At 32.3% G+C, this 15,083-nt stretch overlaps 1 long non-coding RNA gene across 2 annotated transcripts in view; it reads left to right on the plus strand.

Annotated features, from left to right (window-relative positions):
- The first annotated feature begins 14,710 nt into the window (after positions 1-14,710).
- The window catches only part of LINC00871 (long intergenic non-protein coding RNA 871), a 437,745-nt gene continuing 437,372 nt past the window's right edge, over positions 14,711-15,083 (plus strand). For both annotated transcript variants that reach the window (NR_102701.1, NR_102702.1), the window contains exon 1: positions 14,711-14,768. This is a non-coding gene — a long non-coding RNA (long intergenic non-protein coding RNA 871). The remainder of the gene's footprint in view (positions 14,769-15,083) is intronic.

The raw sequence follows: 15,083 nt of genomic DNA on the forward strand, positions 1-15,083 counted from the left end.
TATATCATAAAAATTGCTTTATATTGCCAGTCTATTTAAATTTAGACATTCTAATGTGTGTGCATTGGTATCTTAAATATTTCGTTGATAGCTAATGCATGTATTTTATGTACTATTGGCTTTCTTTATTTATATCCAAAATCTTTATCTTTACCAATTTAAAACTGTTGACTGTCATCTTAAAATTGACTTCTAAAAGTGCTTTTTATATTCCAGATGTAAGTCTTTTATCAAATATAAAAATCACAAATATTTTTTCCCATTCTGTAACTTGCCTTTTCATTTTCCTAATACTAACTTTTGAAGAGCAGAAAGTTTCAATATTTGTGAAGTACAATTTGTCAATTTTTAAATTTGTTCTTTTGGGTTCTTATGTAAGAAATCTTTGTATAACCCAAGGTTACAAACATTTCTCCTTCATTTTCTCCTAACAGCTAAATAATTTATCATTTGGATTCATCAACATTTTGAGTTAACTTTTGTATATGGTATAAAGGTTGAGGTTCTTTTTTAAGAAATCAATTTTCATTTGTTTCAGTACTACTTGTTTAAAAGACTATCATTACCTTGCTCATTGAATTCTGTATTTCTGAATTCTGTTCTATCCATTGATTTCTATGTCCATCTTCATGTTAATGCATCACTGTCTTGAATGCTATGGCTATATTGTAAATCTTGAAATGATGTATGTCAGACCTCCAACTGGTCCACTTTTCAAAAGTGTTTTGGCTATTCAAGATCTTTTGTGTTTCCTATAAAGTTTAGAATCAATGTTTTAATTTCTGAAGTAAATCTGCCCAGGTTTTGATTTGAGTTGTATTTGCAAACAAATTTAGAAATAGTTAATTTTTATCAATATTGTTGCTTATTTTAAACATATTTATTTTTACAATTTCTAATAATTTTTAAAGAAATGTGTCATACTTTCTATTGAAATAGATCGCCTGTATATTTTTAAAATATGTTCTTTAGTATTTAATGCTTTTTGATACTTGGGTAAAAGGCAAGAATATATCTTTAAAATTCTAATTATGCGTCACTAATGTGTAGAAATAAAATTGTTTTTCGTTTATTCACCTGGTATCTGATGAGCTTATCAAACTCATTTACTGGTTTTAGTAGATATTTTGTAGATTAACTGGGATTCTCCAGTTAAGCCATTAGGTGGTCTGCAAATACTGCTTTACTTTCTCCTTTCTAATTTTTATTTTATTATTTGTTTATTTCTTTAAAAACGTTCTGTCTTTAACCATTCTTTGTAATATTAACTGGTGTTTTTCTAGGTGTCTTCATTAGGTTAAGAAAGTTTCCTTCAAATACTTTTAAAGTACTTATTGTGATAATTATATGATTTTGCTCTTTTTAATATTTTAATATCGTGAATTACAAGGATTTGTTTTTTAATGTTAACTACCTTGCATTCTTTGGATAAACCCTATGGTCATGCAGCATTATGATTTTGTGGACTCTTTAGCTAAAATTTTGTTAAGGCTTTTGGCTTTATTTATGAAGGATAGGTTTATCATATACAATGTTTTTGATTTTTTTTTTGTTTATGCCTGCATCTAAAATGTGGCTTTCTGTTGCTTTCTGACCTTCATTCTTTTTAATAAAAAGTCAAGTATCATTATATATTTTGTTGCTCTCTATGTAAAGTATCTTTTCTCCTCTGGTTTCTTTCAAGATTTTCTTTTTATCACTGGATTTCAGCAGTATGTCTAGTATGTGTCTGCATGTGGTCTCTTTGTATCTATATGCTGCTTGGTGTCTGCAGAGCTTTTTGAGTGTGTAATTTGTATGTTTCAGCACATTAGTGGTACTTGGAGACATTAAATTTTTTCAATTTTTTTTTCTTTTTACCAAACTCCAGCTGTGAATCTAATTACATATGGAATAAACTACTTAAAATTGTTCCGTAAGTCACAGAGGCTCTGCTTATTTTTCTCCATTTTCCCCCCTTTTTATCAGATAGTAAAATTCCTATTGGTAAATCATTAAGGCACTTATATTTTCTTCTACCAATTTCAATTTGCTGTTAAGTTCATTCATCGGATATTTTCATTTTATTTATGGCACTTTTACTTCTAGAATTTGTATTTGGTTCCTTTAAATTTTTTTTTTTACTTTTTACTACATTTCCAATCTGTTTATTTCTTAAAACTTTTCCTCAAATATTTGAACATATTATAACTACATCATCCGAGTACTCTCAGAGTTGGTTTTTACTGAGTTGTCTTTTTCCTTGATTATTGTCATATTTTCATTTTTTCCCATGTTTATTAATTTTTTTTTCTGATATGTGACAATTTGAATAATAAATTACGGTGATCCTCGATTTCAGTGTCACTCTGCAAACTATTTAAACTTGTATAGCAGGTAGTTAACTTGGCTGGATTCAAACTAAACTTTGCCTGCTCTGCAATGAGTAGCAACCAAAATATCTATTCAGTGATTTGTTTCTAACTGACAAATGTTGTTGGGCCTACTGCTTTTTCCCCTTTATATGCATAGTTCAATCATCAGCCAAAAATGTGAATGCATTCATATACAGATTTTGAAACTCATTCATTCTATAGCTTTTCTCTTGTCCAGAATTCCCATCGTCTTTAGTCACTCTACCAGAACTGAACTCAACCCTCTCATATTTCCAGCCAATAATGCTACAGTTTTATGCCACCTTTTTTTTTTCTTTTTAGGAACTGATACACTTTTACAATTTGTAGCTGCTTTTGGTCACTTTCTAATTTCTTTAAATACTTGTCTTTGTAGGGTTTTTCTTTTTTTTGAGATATTATAATTGTTTTCTGTAGCAGGGTGAGTTTACACAACCTACCTGGCTATTTCCAGATACCAGAACTTTTTCAGTTCATTTTTTATAACCTAACTCACTACTACCTATATTTGATTTTATATCTATCACCTTACTGTTTCCTTTCTCTGTGGTTCATCTATTCTGTGTATCGCCTATCTTTTCTTGAATTGTTTTTTAATTGTTTGATACTTTATAACTATGAAATAATAGGACAGAAAAAAGTTAAAACTTTATGGCTATTCTTTTCGTAGTTAACCTAGAAATTATAAAATAAATTCTTTATTTATCAAGGTCTACTGTTTATACTTTTATTGTATTCTGGGACAACCCAGTGATAGAGATATCTACATGTTTATACCTCTAGATAAATATTTATATAGATAGATGTATATATTTATAAACATACAAAATATATTCCATAAGTATAAATGCATTCATAATATTTATAAATATGAATAAGCATATGTAATCATATAATCTGTATAATACAGAATACATCATATATTTATACTTATAAACATAAATATAAATACATAAATACACACACACATGCACGTACATACGTATCTATATTTTCCCTGCAATCATTGTTAGAATTTTTTTAATACAGGCAGTATATTCCCATTGTCCCTTACATACTTTTTTTAAAATCTATATTTTTTTTGTGAGTTATATTGGGAGCATTTTCCTTCTGCTGAAAAAATTGCTCTAGATTTTCCTTTAGTGGAATATTGTTCTAGCAATTCTTCATTGTCTTGTGTCTTCCCCAATGCCCTTAAGCAAAGTGATAGTGTACATTTGTAAATCTTTCCTTATTGTTCATAACATGAGAGGTTATGCTTAAATTTTAATTGCCAGTTTATATATTTTCAAGTTTCTTAAAAATATATGTATTAAAAATCATTACTTTTAAGAGTACCACAATATTTAATTCTGTGTTTCTCTCAAGATTTTTAACTAGTTCTTTTTGTTTGATTATTTACAAGTTTAATTTAAATAAAATATCTGAAAGAAACTTTCTTTTTCCTAAATCTTCATGATAACATCTAAATTTTTCTTGGAATAAATTATAATGAATTTCTAGTAATATAATTTGTGCTGTATATCTTTTAAGATTATACATTGCCCTGCAAAAGGCAGAAAGTGACTCATCTGTCTTACAACACCTTTAAGAGGACTTTTTATGGATGCTGAGGAAGGCCGTCTTTTATTTTACTTTCTCTTTTTAATTAGATGTGATTATTTCAGCTCTCTGGTAATTGGTTAACAGAGAGTTTCAATATTTAAAACATGTTAATTCTTTGTGTTTTTTGTTTGTGAATTTTTCATGTGTATTAGTTACTTTTCTCCTGAGAAATTATATTTTTATTGTTTTAGAATGTATGTATATATTAAAATAATATTTTTTTTTCAGTTATAAGTGAGCAAATATTTTCCTCATCTTTTTGGATTTCCTTTTGCTTATATTTTTCCACAAGTAAAATATCACATTTTGGACAGTAAAATCTATCAGATTTTTCATTCATTTACATTTTACTTTTATCTTTATGCTTAAACATCAGTGATAACATAAATATTTACACGTATTGTTGTAATTTTATATATTTTAATTTTTTTGAAATAGTTGACTTCTTAGTCTGCCTAAAAATTTATTTCATTGGTCTTTACTGGCATCTCTGCATAACTGAATGTTTCTCATTTTTAGGTCTTAGCTCCTTAAAGAGAATTTTCTTGACCTGTTCCTCTGTTTCTGCAGGTTCTTTCAATCTGCTTTGTGGATTTCCTTCTAAGTAACTTTTTATCCAAAAATGTTCTTGGTTATTTGCCTATTTCTTAAACAGTATTGCTCTCCTTTAATTAGAATGTAAGTTTCATAAAGGCAAGCATGTTTTATACTTTATTTTTCTTTATTATTTTAGTTTTGTAACTACCCTGCACATATTAGAAATGCAAATATATTTGTTGAATGAATAATTTATTATACCAATTATTGTTGCTTTAAAACTTTTAAAATGGGAGTATCAGACCCTTTTTGTTTCTTTTTCACAATTTCTTCACTATTATGAGATTATTATTCAAAACTTCTTTTATAATCAACCACTGTCAATTTATCAAAATAATAGTAATTTTTTCAAATTGCTAAATCATCTTAAAAACTAAACAAAATAAATAAAAATGCCTGTCTAAAGTGAGAAAGTGATACATCAGGAAGAAAAATGACCTCCACAGATACTTACCAGGGAGATAGAAAAAAATTTTAACTGCTAATAGTATTCTAAAATAACCACAATTCATTTTTCTCATCTGTTCATTCAGTCCTTATAATTATTTCTTGTCCAGCTGGATTTTGGTTCAGCACTAACCTTTCATAATATCATCTGCTTCTGGGCTAAAACGAGTTCTGAAAATCCTGATTCATTTCTTGGCACAGTCTCACTGTGGTCTACTCATGGTAATAATGTCAGCATATGCTGGAATCTCAAATATGCAAGAGACTACTAATTGCAGAAGAATTAATACTATCCAAATACAGGCCCTTCTGTTAAGGCTCTGAAATTGCTCATTTTTACTGAATATCTGCTTTCTTGCCAATTAACATAGGGGAACCTTGAGATAAGCGATGCTTAGATTGAATGGCTCTGGTTAATTATTGCAGAAATCACCAGTATTAGAATCAACAAGAGTTGACATTTACCACTGGAATGAACACATCCTATTTAATGAAAATTTGACCAATATGTTCCCGGTGAGTAAGAATATATTATAAAGAGGGGGATAGTGAAGAATTTCCAAAGCCTTCCAATACATCCTGTAAAAGTAAATATTTATGCTAATAAATATCTACCTATACAAAAATTTTAACATGAAATAAAAACTGGAGATATTTCGGACACATAACAGAAAAGGAACAATTTTCTACCTACATAAAAACTCATATAAATTAAGTAAAAGATGAATAACCTCAAAGAAAAGAACAAAATTTGTGCCTATACGTTTAAAAATGAAGTAATACAAATAATATTTCTAAACTTTACTAGTAGTTTAAAATGTAAACTCAGTTTAAGCCTGTGTTGTTCAAAAATCAACTGTTATTATTTTATAGCACTTTCAGTTTCTTTCATCATTGATCAAGTCAGCTTTTTCTCATCTTTAATCTTTTATACTAATATATAATATATGTTTTTCTAGAAAATTGTCCTTTTCACTGGCAACATTAGTTATATAGTTTTATTATTTAGAAATCTCTTCTATGTTTGTGTCTAGTTCATTTATCTTAGTTTTAATTTTCTGTTTCTTTTTGACATAGTTTTGCTTTGTCACCCAGGATGGAGTGCAGTGGCACAATCTCGGCTCACTGCAACCTCTGCCTCTCAGGTTCAAGCGATTCTTGTGCTTCAGCCTACTGAGAAAATGGGATTACAGGCACACACCACCATGCCTGGCTAATTTTTGTGTATTTTGTAGAGATGGAGTTTCACCATGTTGCTCAGGCTGGTCTCAATCTCCTGAGCTCAAGTGATCCACCCACTCTGGCATCCCAAAGTGCTGGAATTACAGGTGTGAGCCACTACACCCAGCCTGGTGGACTACTTTTAAAAAACTGATACATAATAGTTGTATGTATCTGGGGGTACATGTGATATTTTGATACCTGTATACAATGTGTAATGATCAAATCAGAGTAATTGTGATATCCATCACCTGAAACATTTATCATTTCTTTGTGTTGGGAATACTACAATTTTTCTCTTGTAGCTATTTTGAAATATACATTAAATGATAGTTAATTATATTTTTCCTACTGTACTATTGAACACTAGAACTTATTCCTGTTATCTAACTTTGTTTTTGTACCCTTTAACAAACTTCTCTTCATTCCACTTCCTCCCTTACCTTCTATTCCCAGATTCTGGTAGCCACCGTTCTACTTTCTACTTCCATGAAATTCACTTGTTTAGCTTTTACATATGAGTAAGAACATGCAATATTTGCCTTTCTGTGCCTGACTTATTTCACTAAACATAATGACCTCCAGTTCCATCCATGTCGCTGCAAAGGATTTCATTATTTTTATGGCTGAATAATATTTCAGTGTATATGTGTGTGTGTATCACTTTTTATTTATTCATTAATCTGTTGATGGACATGCAGATTGATTCCCTATCAATCATGGGAACGTAGATATAGTTATCATATGCTGATTTTCTTTCTTTTGGATATATAACCAGTAGTGGGATTGCTGGATGATATAGTAGTTGTATTTCTAGTTTTTTTCAGTAATCTCCATGTTTTCTATAATAAGTATAATCCCACTTTTTAATTTGAAATGCATAGTAGACAAAATTTTAGAATAATCCCCAATTACCCAACTCTGTATAACCTCATCTTGAATACAGGTAGCATCTGTAGTTTTTTTTTAGCAATCGAATATGGCAAAGGCGAGGGCATATTATTTCCATGATTACATTACATTACATTATTTCTTAATGGTGAAGGGGTTTTAAAGATGCACTTAAGATTTCTAATTAGGTAAGTTCTAGTTAACGAAAATGGAGATTATTTGACTATGCCTGATCTAATCAGGCAGAATTTTTTTTTTTTTAAAAAGTCCAGAAGTCACAGGATCTGTCTTGCTGGTCTTAAAGAAGCAAGTCATCATGACTTCTATAGTTACAAGAAGATGAATTCTGTAGACAATCACTTGAGCTTGGAAGGCCACAATCATCATGAATACTTGATCCCTAGCTGACATCTTGATTGCTGAACAGGGGGCTTGTTTAAATTGTGTTTGAACTTCTGACCCACAGAAACAGTGAAATAATAAATGTATGTTGCTCTATGTCTCTATGTACACTTCTGCTAATTTGATATATGCTCTATGTCTCCACATACACTTCTGGTAATTTGCAATAACCAAAAATGAAAAAAAGAATTTGATACCTAGAAGTGAAGTGCTGCTGATCTAATAAATGCTTACAAATATGATTTCAGCTTTGGAATTGGGCAGAAGCTAGGGAGATTTTGAGGAGAATGGTATTGAAATCCTAATTTTCTTCCACAAGATTATTAGAAAAAATGCACACTGAGGATGCTCCTATGAAGGCTTAGAAGGAAGTGAGGAAGGGGTATAAGTTATTGTGGGCCAGAGGATGGATTCTGAAAGACTAATACTAAATATATTTGTCACGATTGTTGAATTTTTAAAATTTATTTTAAATCCATAGAGGAGAGTTTATATTTCCCTTAACTTTATTTGGAAATAAATAACTTTATTTGGAAATAAATATGGATATCAATTTTAGTGAATAAATACATTACTCTAATTCAAGAAGCCATAAATTCTTCAATGATTTAGGACACTATGTAGTTTACAATTTACTTTTGGACAGATCGGGCTGTCCTTAATAACACATTACTTATTAAAAATGCTTTTCTCAGAATGGTTGAAAATTCTTACTGTCAGAGAAAAGGGGAAAGATAATGGGGGTTGTTAAACCCTGCAGAAATATTTTTCAGTCTTTCCTGAGGAAGTTTAAAGAATGGAAAAGCAGGGTTTACAAAGTGGGGGATGCTTTTCATACTTGTCTAAATTTTGTGCACATATGAATCCACTCTTACTGCACTGGGCATGCTGTGTGTGCTAAATGGCTTTTTAAAAATCTTTTTACTTTTTCACACTAGAGAGAACATATTGCAAAAATGGCATTGCTTATTTCAGCATGCATAGCTATTAATAAATGTGTCATAATGCCCATGTTATTCAGAAATCTCTGTGAAACCTCACTTCATGCTGTCTACATTATAAATGGTTTAGTAATTCAGACTGTAGAGTAGCTGATAAAAAAAATGGAACATGTAGTCACATAAAAATAGCATGTTGGGATATACCATTAAAGTTAATTTATATATTCTTCTTTCCAGAGTGTTGACAAGTTCTACTTAAACATAGGTGCCTAATGTATGTGCTGACATGAAGCAGATATGAATAAAAAGTATATGGTGGGTATAAAATGGAGTCAGTAAAATTATTTCTAATTTGTAATCAGATGGGGTAAGTGAACATTATTCTGACATGTGGAATTGTAGTTGAAAACTTTAATGCTCTAATAGGAGGATAAGGAAATAACTCATATAACTCCTGAAATGTTCAGTGAATCATTTCTAACGGTTAAAGGAATCAGTGTAGAATTATTTCTGAAATATCTTTAAAACTAAAAATAGGTTGGACTGTGTTTCTCACTTGCCTGGTAGTTCATCTTCATTGTACAGCCCCTATACAGATGTTATTACCTCATATTCAAGTGGACATCTTAGGCAAACTAAACTGTCAGTGAAATATTTTCATCCAATTGGAGTGTAGATTACTAATTTTTTTTTCTAGAAAGCTGTGTTCAGGAAAAATAAAGATAATCATAAAAATAGAAGTGAAATATCATAGATAGAATACTTCCTCGACCACTTTAATCCTCTTGCACATATACATTGAAGGAGATTTAATGTAAACTTTAACAAATTAGAAAAATAGAAAATAAGTTGTAAGATCAGTTGTTTTGCTTTTAAAACATCAAGCTGGAAGAACAGTGACTGTAGAGGAAACCAATGCAATAATCACAGGTGAGCACATATAGCCTATATTCGATTTTTTATTGTAGATAGCAATTAAAATAATAAACTCAAAACTGGATGCTCCCTTAAAGTATAGCACTTTCATAATTGGGGTCTAAATTGTCTTAAATAATTCATTTGGTCTTTTTTAGATTTTGATGAAAACACACACACATGATCCGAGTCAGCTAAGCATGCATAATGGAACAGAGTAAATTAGATACAGGTAAAAATAAATGCCTGTGTTGCTTTAGTAATATTTACAGTCAGTTGTATTTTGCCTCTTGGTGATTAGTTCTGAAACTTTGCCTCAAAATAAACACTGAACCCACTTACAGTCTCACACTCATTTTTCTTTTTCTCTTATGCTAACGAATGTCTCATCAGATATCTCTTGCTCTTTTTTTGAAGTTGGACCAGAAAAAAAAAATATCATCTGACCAACTCCAAGCCTAAGCTAAGCTGAAAAATCAAACTTAAACAGATAGCTTAAGATGTGGAGTCGTCCATATGTTTGACAAGGGGAAGAAAAAGGAAGTGAAAGAGATTTCTGGGGTTTTGTAGAAATTTGGAACTTGTGTTCAGTCTCAGTAAGAATAACATTTTATAACACTTGAGAATTATCCATCTTGATATAAACTTTTACTATTACTTTATTACCAAATCAGATGTTCCACTAATAAACGGAATTCAGAGATAATCCTCCAGACATCTTTGTTGGCCAATAGCGACAAGAAATCTTCATAACATTTCCAGAGATGTGCACTCTTTGTATAATGCAGTTATTACTGCTAGTCCTCGTAGGCAAGGACTTCATGGCTAAAACACCAAAAGCAACGGCAACAAAAGCCAAAATTGACAAATTGGATCTAATTAAACTAAAGAGCCTCTGCACAGCAAAGGAAACTACCATCAGAGTGAACAGGCAACCTACAGAATGGGAGAAAATTTTTGTAATCTACCTATCTGACAAAGGGCTAATATCCAGAATCTACAAATAACTTAAACAAATTAACAAGAAAAAAATCAAACAACCCCATCAAAAAGTAGGCAAAGGATATAAACAGACACTTCCCAAAAGAAGACATTTATGCAGCCAACAGACACATGAAAAAATGCTCATCATCACTGGCCATCAGAGAAATGCAAATCAAAACCACAGTGAGATACCATCTTACACCAGTTAGAATGGCGAACATTAAAAAGTCAGGAAACAACAGGTGCTGGAGAGGATGTGGAGAAATAGGAACACTTTTATACTGTTGGTGGGACTGTAATCTAGTTCAGCCATTGTGGAAGGCCGTGTGGTGATTCCTCAAGGATCTAGAACTAGAAATACCATTTGACCCAGCCATCCCATTACTGGGCATATACCCAAAGGATTATAAATCATGCTGCTATAAAGACACATGCACACTATGTTTACTGAGGCACTATTCACAATAGCAAAGACTTGGAAACAACCCAAATGTCCATCAAAGATAGACTGGATTAAGAAAATGTGGCACATATACACCATGGAATACTATGCAGCCATAAATAGGATGAGTTCATGTCCTTTGTAGGGACATGGATGAAGCTGGAAACCATCCTTTTGAGCAAACTATCACAAGGGCAGAAAACCAAACACCACATGTGCTCACTCATAGGTGGGAACTGAACAATGAGAACACTTGGACACAGGATGGGGAGCATCACACATCAGGGCCTGTTGTGGGGTGGGGGGCAGGGACAAGGGATAGCATTAGGAGATATACCTAATGTAAATAATGAGTTAATGGGTGCAGCACACCAACATAGCACATGTATACATATGTAACAAACCTGCACATTGTGCACATGTACCCTAGAACTTAAAGTATAATAATAATAACAAAGAAAATAATAATGTAAAAAAAAAAAAGAAAAACAAAATGATGAACGAACTGGAAATAGATTGATATTCAGAAGAGGGTATAGGCGATAATCCTCAACAATATAGCCAATTTCCAGATAACTGAAAACTGGCTAAATACAGATTCTGCATCTCATTGATTTGTAGTCATGACTCTTAAAGGTGGTAATCACTTTGACATTACCATATTTTGTCATTTTTCATACGTTATTTCCTGCTTATAAATTCATATTCCTCCATCCATAATCTATTACACTTTAGAAATTTTAGTCTCAGCCCCTTTTTAGTTCTCTTTCCTTTAAGATGAATTGATGTGTATTTTTTAATGGGCCCTGATATTTTACTTATATATCTAAACATGTAAGTGATAAACTAATAATTGGTATCTTAAAATGATTTTTAAGGAAAGGGGGAAATAGAACAAAATGTAAGTAGATGGCCATTACGGTAGTACATATACACATGAGAGCTGATTTGAGAGACGTGCTGAGAAAGATGTATACACATTGGAGAAACATTTTGGGCAAATATCACCATCTGTGGGATGGAGTGGACAGATATGTGAAATGAAGCTAAAATTCCAAACTTAGGTATAAGGAGATAGAAATTAAGAGAAGCTAGCTTGTAGAGACAAATATTCTAAATGAGTTATGAATAAATTTTGTGACAGCCAATAAAATGAACAGAAGGTAGGTGGAAATTTGTTACTCAAACTCCAGGTAGAGGGAAGGTCTAGAGAGAAATTCAATTAAATTCTTGGAGATAGATGAATAGAGTATAAAGACAATGTTTTGAAGAATATATAGTTACAATTTTGGAAGTTATTTATAAAGCTAAATTTTATTATAGACCTAGTATATAGGAGCTGTATTGGATGCTAGAAATACAAAGTAGGAATGGAATTGACCTTTTTCTGATTCATGGTCTACTTGAAAAAAGATAGGTACACATAAATTCAATATAATGTATTCTATTAGTCTTCTAGGGCTGCCATAAACAAAATACCTGGGTGGCTTAAACAACAGAAATTAATTTTCTCCTGGTTTTGGAAGCTGGAAGTCCAAGATCAAGGTGTTGGTAGTTTTGATTTCTCCTGAGGCTTCTCTCCTTGGCTTTCAATGGCCATTTTCTCACTGTGTCTTACATTGTTTTTCTTCTATGCATGTGTATCGCTGGTGTCTCTTCTCTTCCTATGAAAGACACAAGTCATATTGGATTAAAGTACCACCCTTATTACCTAATTTAACGTTAGTTATATGTCTAAAGGCTCTATCCAAATACAGTCACATTTTAAGGTACTTGGGGTAAAGAACATCAACATGTAAATTTGGTAGGAGGCACAATTCAGTCTATAACATGTGGTAAAGCATATGAAAACTACAGTGGTGTCACAGAGAACAGCTAAGTTTGCTATGAAAGAAATGGTAAAAAAAAAAAAAAGTTACAGAAGAAGTAAAATTTAAACTAGTTAATCTTGAGTGAAAATATAGAATATTTTAAGAGCAGGAAAAAGAAAATATATGATAGGATACCATGTTCAGGGGATGGTGAGTGGTCAGAAAACAGCATAGGCTGCAAAGAAGGAGATATTAGAACATGAAGATAGCGGTATATGAAAAATTACTTTGGAAAATCCTTCTAGGACATGTCAAGGAAACTGACCTGTATCCTAATGGCCTTCTTATTCTTTCACCCTTCATCCATCCATCCAGTCCACTGGATGAATTTAGTTTACCTTTTAAATCTGTTCATTTTCTTCTGTCATTACCAGCCTGGTTGAATATATTGCAATCTCTTGTCTAAGAAACTGAACTAGCTCTAATAGCAACTCCTACAGCTTTCATTAAACATGATCTTTTCATTATTTAGATGTAAACATTTCACTCCTTTTCCAGAAATCCCTCAAGGGCTTTCTGTAGCAGTTAGGATAATAAGCTTCATCATGTTCCTGAAGGCATGTATTAATTAGGCCCATTTACCTCTCAAATCTCATTTCCCTCTGTAGCCACACCCAACTTACCTGAGTCTCATCTATTTGCCAGATTTTTCTAGTCCCAAACCTTTTACATGGCTTATTATTTTTGTTGAATCTATTTCCCTTCTCTTTTCCACCTATATTTTGACACACCTGTCAACTCAGCTCATCTCTCCTTCGAGAATTTTTCTCACTGTCCTAGCTAGATCAAACAGACCCATTATTTGTTATTAAAGAAAGTTTTGTGTACTTTTCTTTTGTAGAATATATACAATGGAGAATTTTTATTACCCAACATGTTTTTAATACTCCCTCAGATAAGTATGTAACCTCCAATAAGTAGAGACATGCCATGTTTTGCTCACAATTCCATAAATGGTGCCTGATATATTTTGCAGCACACAATTAAATGTTCTTTTAATATTTGTTGAATTTTTATTTATTGTACTATAATATAGCAGAGGATAGTGATCCACAGGGGCAATTGATAATATTTTTTACCATGCAGTCTCAACTGAATGAGTCCTACAATGACATGGTCCTTCTTTGCAAATGCATTTATACTAAGTGGCATAGTACAATAGTTACAGGGATTTAAAGCAATAAAAATGACCCACATACCCATATTTACTTTACTTCAAAAGTCCATTCTCAATGTATGTCCATTTTCGTATATCATTTCCATAGCTCTAATAATAAGGTATATAAACCTTGGCATTTAGGTCTCCACTTGCTGTGTTGTAAGACATTCCCTATATTTTTGCTACATAGCTCATAATATTTCACATTAGGTTGATGTACAATAATTAGCTTGATGCTAGGGATGCATCAAATACTCCAGATGTTTCTTATTTTTTTCTAATAGACTTTATTTTTAAAAACAATTTTAGGTTCACAAAAAAATTGAATGGAAACTACACAGTTTCTGTGTTCCCCCGACCCCACACATGCAGAGCCCCTTCCACTATCAACATCTTGCACCACAGTGGTCCACTTTTTACAGTTGATGAACATGTATTGACACATTTTTACCTCTCAAAGTTCATGTGAAGTGACACTGTTCTCTGGGGTAAGTAGCCGGGGTTCGTTGTCTTGTGCAAAGAAGATTTAGGACTCAGATACACACGAGGAGGAGTTTAGGAGCAGAGGTTTAATAGGCAAAAGAAAGACAAAGGAAAATAACTCTCTTTCTAGCGTGAGAGAGGGGCTTCTGAGAGGAAAAGACTGGCCGGTGGTGGAGTGCACCGGATTTCATAGGCAGGCTTGAGGAGGCGGTGTCTGAGTTACACAGGGCTCACAGATTGGTTGGAACGGTGTGACGTTTACATAGCACACAGGGAAGGCTGGCCACTCCACCCTAATCTTATTAAACAAATCAGCTTTCCACTTGGCCAGCACCATTTTATCTGCTCCTTACTGTACACATGACTCGCAAAGAGAAGGGAAGATGGAACTGCCATTTTGCACGTGTCAAGTTTCAGGTAGCTTTTTCCTGCTGGCATTCACCCGCGCAAGCTTCCAGCTTGCTTATCTGTGTCTGCAGCTCGATTTTACAGGCTGCTCTTTGTTAGAAAATGATTTTAAGGCTGCTTTTCATTAAAAAGGAAAACCTTACCGAGGACTCCCATACCCTAACTCCCTAAGTCATTTCCTCTTAACTCCTATATCACATAGTTTACACTGGGGTTCATTCTTGATGTTTTACATTTTATGGGTTTGTACAAATGTATAATGACATATATTCTACATTTCAATATGATACAAAATACTTTTACTGCCATAAAAATCCTCTGTGC

The sequence above is a fragment of the Homo sapiens genome, chromosome 14 (assembly GCF_000001405.40).
Source record: "Homo sapiens chromosome 14, GRCh38.p14 Primary Assembly".
Taxonomy (NCBI): Eukaryota; Metazoa; Chordata; class Mammalia; order Primates; family Hominidae; genus Homo; species Homo sapiens.